Below are 7,936 nucleotides of genomic sequence, written 5' to 3'. Positions count from 1 at the left end.
CGGGGAGAGGCCCGGACCTGTCGCCAGAGGCCCTGGGCAAAGGGGCCCATGTGGGACATGCTGGGCCGACACCCTATGTCCACATCTGCGGGCAGGTCTGGGCCCTCTCCCTTGGGACTGTGCCCTGGCCTCCTGAGCAGGCCTCACTGAGCCATGGCAGGTTCTGATGAACAGGGGCCTGCCACTTAGCCATCAGATGGGGGCAAGATGTCCCACACAGGCAGCACTGGCATCTGGCCTGTAAACCCAAGCGCCCTCCCAGCTGGCTCTGCTGGCCCATGGGCCCTGGGGTGGGAGAGCCCTGCACCAACCACACAGATGACACTGAGACAGGTGACGGGAATTAAATAACTTTTGACTTTATTTCACTAGAGATAAAACCAGCAGCATCACAGCTTGAGCCCCTTACCCACCCCCTTGTCCTCCCCACCCCCCACTCTTCTGCCTAATGTCGGTAATGGGGGCTTCGGGATCGGGACCTTGAGCGCCTGGAAAGAGAAAGGGAGGGGCCGTGAGGATGGGGCATACACACATCAACACACCTGGGGCCGTGGATGCTTCAGTGATCGGGGCACTTGTCTGTGGAGGGAAGGATGTTCCCCAAGGGATGAGACCAGCCCCTCCAACTGGAGGTGGGTACAGGGTGAGGCTGGAGGAATGACAGCCAGGACCTCCCATCAAAGGACAAGTGTTACTTCCAAGAAAGTGGAGGGTCATGGGCTTCCTTACCTTCGAGAAGAGCTGTATTCTCGACCTGGAAAGAAAACAACAGGTGAAGAGCGAGCAAACATCCAGGGCCAGGGCCTCTTCCTTGACCTGGGGTGAGGTCCTCAAAACTGAACTTCAGGGGTTGTCTCCAAATGAGGGGACATTTCCAGAGAGTCCAGTGGCTGCCATCTGTGCCCCTCACCAGCCCATGCCGGAATGAGCACTTCTAATTGCTGCAATCACCTTGTGACTAAAGCAATCTGTGTGTGTGTGTGTGTACGTATGTGTGTCACCATGTTGGTCAGGCTGGTCTCGAACTCCTGACCTCAGGTGATTGATCCACCCACCTCAGCCTCCCAAAGTGCTGGGATTACAGGCGTGAGCCACCGCGCCCGGCTGTACTATGGTTTTTTTGGTAACCCTGCTTGACACTTTTCTTTAAAGCCCCAGAGCCCTGCAGCCTGGTGGGGACACTCACTGTATCGGGGGGAGGGTGAGCGGCTCTGCCGGCTGTACTGGCGTTCCCACTCTTCTCTCTCCTTCTCTCGGCGTTCCCGCTCCCTGCGAAGGCATGGCATGAGCATCTGGCCGGGAACACTGGACACACTGAACTCAGGGAGGGCAGGTGCTTCCAACACCCTACTCCGAGGAAGACAGTAAACCAAGGGGGCCGGTACTGCCACCAATCCCCGCTTGGAAAGGGAGCCCCAGGTTCAGAGGGACCCCAGCTGGCGGGGCTGACTGGAATCCCAGCCCCTTCCTAGGAAAGCCTGGGGAACAGAGGGAGGCAGGATAGTCCCATCATTTCCTGCCGCACTGGGGCACCTGCACACAGTGAGTGTTGAAATGGTCTCCGTCACAGTGGCCAGGCTTGGCAACCCAATGGCTACGTCTACTGGGTGCCTCCTCCGTGCCTGGCCTTGATCTTGTCAAATCCTCCCAACAGCCTGTGAGGTGGGACAGTGACTGTATCTCCATTTAGGAGATAAGCAAACTGAGGCTGGGACAGGAGAAAGACCCATGGCGGTGGGTGAGTGGGGAAGGGGTATCAGGAACAGCTTGCCAGGCCAAAAAAACAGCAAAGGTGACTGGCACTTGGAGGCTGGAAGAGCTGGGAGGAGGTCGCGGTGGCGGGAGGCAGGTCGAAATGGTGGGAGGAAATTCAGGGAGAGGAGCAAGAGAGGCAGCTGGGCACAGCCCCGAGGGCCAGGCAGGGATCTCTGCCTTTCATCCACCCACAGGGAGCTGGGCAGGGCTTGAGCCAGCAGCCCATGGTGGGAAGGCCAGGCAGGCCAGGAGGTGTGGCCATGGGACAGGGAGGGGCAAGGTCTTACTTCATGCGGATCTTGCGGGCCATGGCTCGAAGCTCGTCTTCCCGCTCCTGCAGCAGACAGGGCTATGAGGACGTGGCCAGGCCAGCACCCACCCGTCACCCCAGCCCTCCCTTTCCCACTTCACCTGCCGCTCATGCTCCTGCTGGATCATCTTTTCTTGTGCCGCCTTCTTATCCGCCTTGACTGTAGAGAGAAAGAACAGGGTGGCTGAGGGGTTCCCTTAAGAGCCCCACTCTCTTTTTTCTTTTTTTTTTTTTTTGAGACAGAGTCTCGCTCTGTCGCCCAGGCTGGAGTGCAGTGGCGTGATCTTGGCTCACTGCAGGCTCCGCCCCCCGGGTTCGCGCCATCTCCTGCCTCAGCCTCCTGAGTAGCTGGGACTACAGGCGCCCACCAACATGCCTGGCTAATTTTTTGTAGTTTTAGAGAGACGGGGTTTCACCGTGTTAATGGTCTCGATCTCCTGACCTCGTGATCCGCCCACCTCGGCCTCCCAAAGTGCTGGGATTACAGGTGTGAGCCACCGTGCCCGCTAAGAGCCCCACTCTCTAAAATGAGGAAGCTGAGCTCAGACAGGTCAACCTGACTGCAGAGGCCCCAGCATAGCGGCAGCGGAGCTGATGCAAACCCATTCCTCCCCAGAGCACCTCCGTGCCTGCGTGGCCTCTCTAGGGAAGGGCCAGGCCTCCCAAAGTGGTGCTGAGTCTCCTTGCTCCCACTGCCAAGGGAAAGAAGAGCTGTGAAACCCTGGAGGGACAGGGCAGAACATACACTGCCTGTTCAGCGCCTTCTGCATCCTCAGTTTCAGCTTCTCCTGAGGCGTCAGCTTGGGCTGGGGAGGGGGGAGAAGAGGCGGGAGAGGGGGTGGGTGTCCCAGAGCTCCCACAACCCACCTCAGCCAAAAGCCTGGGGCTTTGTGCGGGGGGGGGGTGGGGGGGGGAGAACGACGTGGGGAGGAGGGGCAGGCTGTGGACAGCCCTGAGGCTCCCAGAGGTTCAGTGACAGGTGGAGCCCCAGTGTACAGTGAGGAGGGGAGAGGGACATGGTTCTCACAGGGGCAGACCCTTCCCCTCCCCTCCCTGTCCCTGGGGCTGGATCTCCCAGCCCACCCGGGCCCCCCTGCAGGCCCACCGGGCCCAGCTCTTGGGCACTGCTGCTGACGGGAATTAGACGGGCGAGTTCCAAATTCTTACTGACTTTGGCAGCTCCTGTCTCTTTACCAGCGGCAGGTTCGGTCCTGGGTGGGGGCAGGGCCAGAGGACATGGTTGGGAGGGGGAAAGGGCAGCTGCCACCTCTGACCCCAGCCTCAGCACTGCCCTCAGACCAGGTAGCCAAGGCATGGGCCTCAGATGCCCCAGGGTGCAACCATGTCCCTCTCAGACCCCACAGAACCTGTAAGACAGGGACCTGTCCCCCTCTGACCCTCACCCAGGACAAGGTTCTAATTGTGCAGATCCTCCAGGATTTGGTGTGTCCTCCTCAGACCCCCCAGGCCAGGGCTGTGTCCCCCTGAAATCCACCCTCCCAGGCCAGGGCCATACACCACCCCCCAGACCTCCCAGGGTAGGGCTAAGTTCCCCTCAAAAAGAAAACAGTGATGTTCACCCTCCCCACCCGAGATTGGCAGCCCTCTTCCTCCAGACCCGCCCCGCTCACTTTTTCAGCTTCTCGCCCACAGCAGGGGACGCGGCCGGCCTGGTCAGCTTCTCTCTTGCGGGTGATGGCGAGGGGCTCTGGCTGCGGCTGCGGCTGCGGCTGCGGCTCTGGCTGGGGCTGGGGCTATGGCTGCGGCTGCGAGTCAGGCTGCGACTGCGGGACGGGCTGAGGGACCAGCTGCTGCGGCTGCGGCTACTGCTGTGGTGCCTGAGGCCCCGGCCGCCCCGCCTGTAGCGGTCCCCTGAGTGGGAGCGGCTCCTGGGGATGCAGCAGGGCGGGAGGAGGACTGTGAGGCTCCAGGGACCCCAACCGCACCCCACCCTGGGTCCGGATCCACAGTCCTCCTTCCTGCAAGGCCCAGGGTGACAGGCTCGACTCTCCTCTCCTGCTACTCTCCCTCCAAAATGTCCCAGAGCGGCATTCCGGCCTCCCTCCGGCTACAGAGATGGCGCTCTAGATACACTCAGCCTAAGGGCAGTCCTGCCATCATGAGCCCTGCCTGGCCCACGTCACCTCTCCCTCACTAGACACCCGCTTGCTAACTTCCCGGGAGGTGAGCTCTGGGAGGGATGGCTGGCTCCCCCTTTATGAGCCGTGTCCAGCTCAGGCACAACAGTGTTCCACGGTGACCTCATCTACACCCTCACCCACCACCTCATCCTGCTTGTGTCCAGGGTCTCGACAATAGTGGGGACCACCCCTTGTCCTCCACCAGTCTCAGCACAGACCCACAAGTTCCAGTCTGGGGATGCGGAACCCCATCCTCTCCCTGCTCAGGACACTGGTGGGACTCTCCACCCACTGCCCACTCTCAGGCTGGCATGCAAGATGTGCCCAGGTCCCACCTGTCCCCCAAGCCTTTCTCCTGTCATTGCTCTGGGTAAGCTACAAGGAATATATGACCTGGAAGCCAATTCTGGGCCACACGCTGACTCTGCTTGGGCTCTTTTTTTTTTTTTTTTTTTTTTTTTTGAGACAGTCTCTCTCTGTCGCCCAGGCTGGAGTGCAGTGGTGCAATAGCTGGGCTCACTGCAACCTCTGCCTCCTGGGTTCAAGCAATTCTCCTGCCTCAGCCTCCTGAATAGCTGGGATTACAGATGTGCACAACCACACCCGGCTAATTTTTGAATTGCGTTTTTATAAAATAAAAATTTGTTGTCATTATTAAGAAAACAAGGGCCAGGCGCGGTGGCTCACGCCTGTAATCCCAGCACTTTGGGAGGCAAAGGTGGGTGGATCATGAGGTCAGGAGTTCAAGACCAGCCTGGCCAACACAGTGAAACCCCGTCTCTACTAGAAATACAAAAATTAGCCAGGTGTGGTGGCGCATGCCTGTAATCCCAGCTACTTGGGAGGCTGCGGCGGGAGAATCACTTGAACCCAGGAGGAGGAGGTGCAGTGAGCCGAGATTGTGCCACTGCACTCCAGCCTGAGTGACACAGTGAGACTCTGTCTCAAAAAAAAAAGTAAAGGAAACAAGAGCTATCCTCTAAAAATCCAGACCCTCAACTTCTCCTGAGAACTAGAAAGACTGGGTGACACTAGACCTGCTGCTGAGCGGTCAACGCCCCGACTGGAGGGAACATGTGCTTGCCAGGTCAGCAGGATCTCTACCTGGCCCCTCTACTTTACCTGCCAGACCCTGAAGGCAGCTGACATGGCGATCAGTGCTACAATAACGCAGGTAATGATGCTGACGATATTAACGGCACTTAGCCAGCACCAGCCCTGTCCTAAGCACCTTACATGGGTTTACCTGTTACACCTCTAACAGCTCAGAGAAGCGGATGCTATTACCGCGATTTTACAGAATTAGAGGCCCAGGGACTCTACACTCAGGCAGGTGCCCTGCAGTCTATGCTCCTACCAACCCAGCGTCGCTGCCCTTCCCAGGGCAGCCCTGACCCCAACAGGCAAGGGGACCGGAAGGGGGTGGACCAGTCCCCAGGTGACTTTATTTTCTAAACCATCCCTAGAGCTAGCCTCTCACCATGTCGTCTCCAAAATGAAATGTCTTTTTTTTTTTTTTTTCTTGAGACGCAGTCTCACTCTGTAGCCCAAGCTGGGGTGCAGTGGCACAATCTCGGCTCACTGCAACCTCCGCCTGCGGGGCTGAAACGATTCTCGTGCCTCAGCCTCCTGCATAGCTGGGACTACATGCGCGTGCCACCACGCCCAGCTAATTTTTTTTTTTTTTTTTTTTTTTGAGACGGAATCTCACTCTGTCACCAGGCTAGAGTGCGGTGGCACGATTTCAGCTCATTGCAACCTCTGCTTCCCGGTTTCAAGCGATTCTCCTGCCTCAGCCTCTCAAGTAGCTGGGACTACAGGCGTGTGCCACCACACCCAGCTAATTTTTTTTTCAGTAGAGACGGGGTTTCACCATGTTGCCCAGGGTGGTCTCGAACTCCTGAGCTCAGGAGATCCGCCTGCCTCGGCCTCCCAAAGTGCTGGGATTACAGGTGTGAGCCACCACGCCAGGCCAAAGAGCTGTCTTGATTTTTTCCACCCGCTTCGCTTCCCCATCCGCTCCTGGCCACACAGGAACGCGCCCCTCCCCCTCCGCAAGGGGTTTCCCAGCCCTCAAGGCCCGGACCCGTCCCTTCAAGCTACAGAAAACCCTGGAGCGTCCATGCGCTTTCTACTCCCCTCCACCTGGAACCCCTGACAGCAAAAACAGTCTCCTGAGGAGAGAGAGATGCACAGTCTCCTCTCCACACCCTGTCGTGGAAAACAGCGGCTGGGATCCACCTCCACTGCCACCAGAACGCGCACGCAAACACCCATGCCTTGCCCTTTCCAACCAAGGGCTTCCTGCGGAAGAGCAGTGGCCTGTGCCTGTCCCCTTAGATGGGGTGTTCTCTGAGCTGGACGGCCAGGTTTCCTCCCTCTGAGCACCTTCTCCCCAGGATCGGAGACCGCGCCCCCCCAGCCCCTCCCACCTCCACGCCCAGCCACACACACCTGCTTCTGCGCCGGGGCCCGTAACCACCACGCCGGGCGGGCGAGCGGGAGTACCGGTGTCCGTCTCGGGAGCCCCCACCTGAGTGCCGCCGGCCACGGCTACGGGACCGGGAATAGCGCCGGGAGCGGGAGCGGGAGCGGGACCAGGAGCGGGACCGGGAGCGGGCGTGGCGGCCGGAACGGTAGTAGCCCCCACCACGGCGAGAGCGGGAGCTGGAGCGAGAGCTGGAGCGGGAGCTGGAGGTCCTCGAGGCAGAAGAGGAGGAGGAGGAGGAGGAGGAGCGGCGGCTGCAGGCGGGGCACGGAGGGCCGGTCAGCGCAGGCCTGAGCCGCGGCCCCCCTCTGCCCCGGGTACCCCCCATGGTGACCGGGGCGTAGGGCGGGCGGCGTGAGCGTTACCGACCGGGCGCTGGCATTACGTCCCGGGGCGGGGCCGCCAGGCTGGGGAGGTGCGGGGGGCTTCCCTGTGGTGACTCCTGATGCTGCTGCGGCAGCAGCGGCTGCGGCTGCCTCCTCATCGCTGCCCCCAAAACTGGTGATGAACGTGATCTTCTCCTCGCGGCCCGGGGTCGGGGAGCGGGAGCGGGAGCGGGACTCTGAGCTGGACTCCGAGGGTGACCTGCGGGTAGGGAGGAGGAGGCTCACTAGCTCAGGCTCCCGGAGCCTCTTCGGGAACAGCACACACAGCAGATCAACAGCAGCGCCAGCGCGGGCCACAGCGACCCGGGAAACCAGGCGGGTGGATGGAGCCTGGAGGGCAGTGGAGACCCAGCTCTGGACAAGGACTTGACTCACAACCATGCAGCCTTCGCTAAATAACCAGGAAGGACAATGACACACAACTGCTCTGATTTTATGTGGCTATGAAAAATGGATGAGCAGGCCGGGCGCGGTGGCTCACACCTGTAATCCCAGCACTGTGGGAGGCCGAGGCAGGCCGATCACTTGAGACCAGGAGTTTGAGACCAGCCTGGCCAACAAGGCAAAACCCTGTCTCTACAAAAAATACAAAAAAAATTTGCCGAGCATGGTGGCGCGCACCTGTAATTCCAGCTACTCAGGAGGCTGAGGGCACGAGAACTGCTTGAACCTGGGAGGCAGAGGTTGCAGTGAGTCCAGGTCACGCCACTGCACACCAGCTTGGGCAACAGAGTGAGACTCCGTCTCAAAAAAAAAAAAAAAAAAAAAAAAAAAGATAAGCAGATCTCTGTACAAAACACAGAAAAGTTTTACTCAAAAGATACATGGATAATCTGGGAGGAAAAAGCAAGTTCTA

The 7,936-nt window shown here is 59.4% G+C and overlaps 1 protein-coding gene across 6 annotated transcripts in view; it reads right to left on the bottom strand.

Moving 5' to 3' along the window:
* Positions 1–334: 334 nt before the first annotated feature.
* CLASRP (CLK4 associating serine/arginine rich protein) overlaps positions 335–7,936 on the bottom strand; it is a 31,912-nt gene continuing 24,310 nt past the window's right edge. For 2 of the 6 annotated variants that reach the window (XM_011526396.2, XM_011526397.4), the window contains 10 exons: positions 7,064–7,279; positions 6,661–6,948; positions 3,697–3,954; positions 3,237–3,276; positions 2,811–2,871; positions 2,167–2,225; positions 2,043–2,089; positions 1,187–1,347; positions 730–754; positions 335–488 (listed from right to left, as the gene is read on the bottom strand). In XM_011526396.2, the coding sequence (XP_011524698.1) occupies positions 446–488; positions 730–754; positions 1,187–1,347; positions 2,043–2,089; positions 2,167–2,225; positions 2,811–2,871; positions 3,237–3,276; positions 3,697–3,954; positions 6,661–6,948; positions 7,064–7,279 (1,198 nt within the window). In that variant the 3' untranslated portion in view covers positions 335–445. Of the gene's footprint in view, positions 489–729; positions 755–1,186; positions 1,348–2,036; positions 2,090–2,166; positions 2,226–2,810; positions 2,872–3,232; positions 3,277–3,696; positions 3,955–6,660; positions 6,949–7,063; positions 7,280–7,936 lie in introns of those variants that run through there. The other 4 variants (NM_007056.3, NM_001278439.2, NR_103529.2 and 1 more) reach the window with 3 other exon arrangements.

The sequence above is a fragment of the Homo sapiens genome, chromosome 19, assembly GCF_000001405.40.
Source record: "Homo sapiens chromosome 19, GRCh38.p14 Primary Assembly".
Classification (NCBI taxonomy): Eukaryota; Metazoa; Chordata; class Mammalia; order Primates; family Hominidae; genus Homo; species Homo sapiens.
Note: the sequence above shows the minus strand (reverse complement) of the source record. Positions and strands in the feature narration are given on the sequence as shown.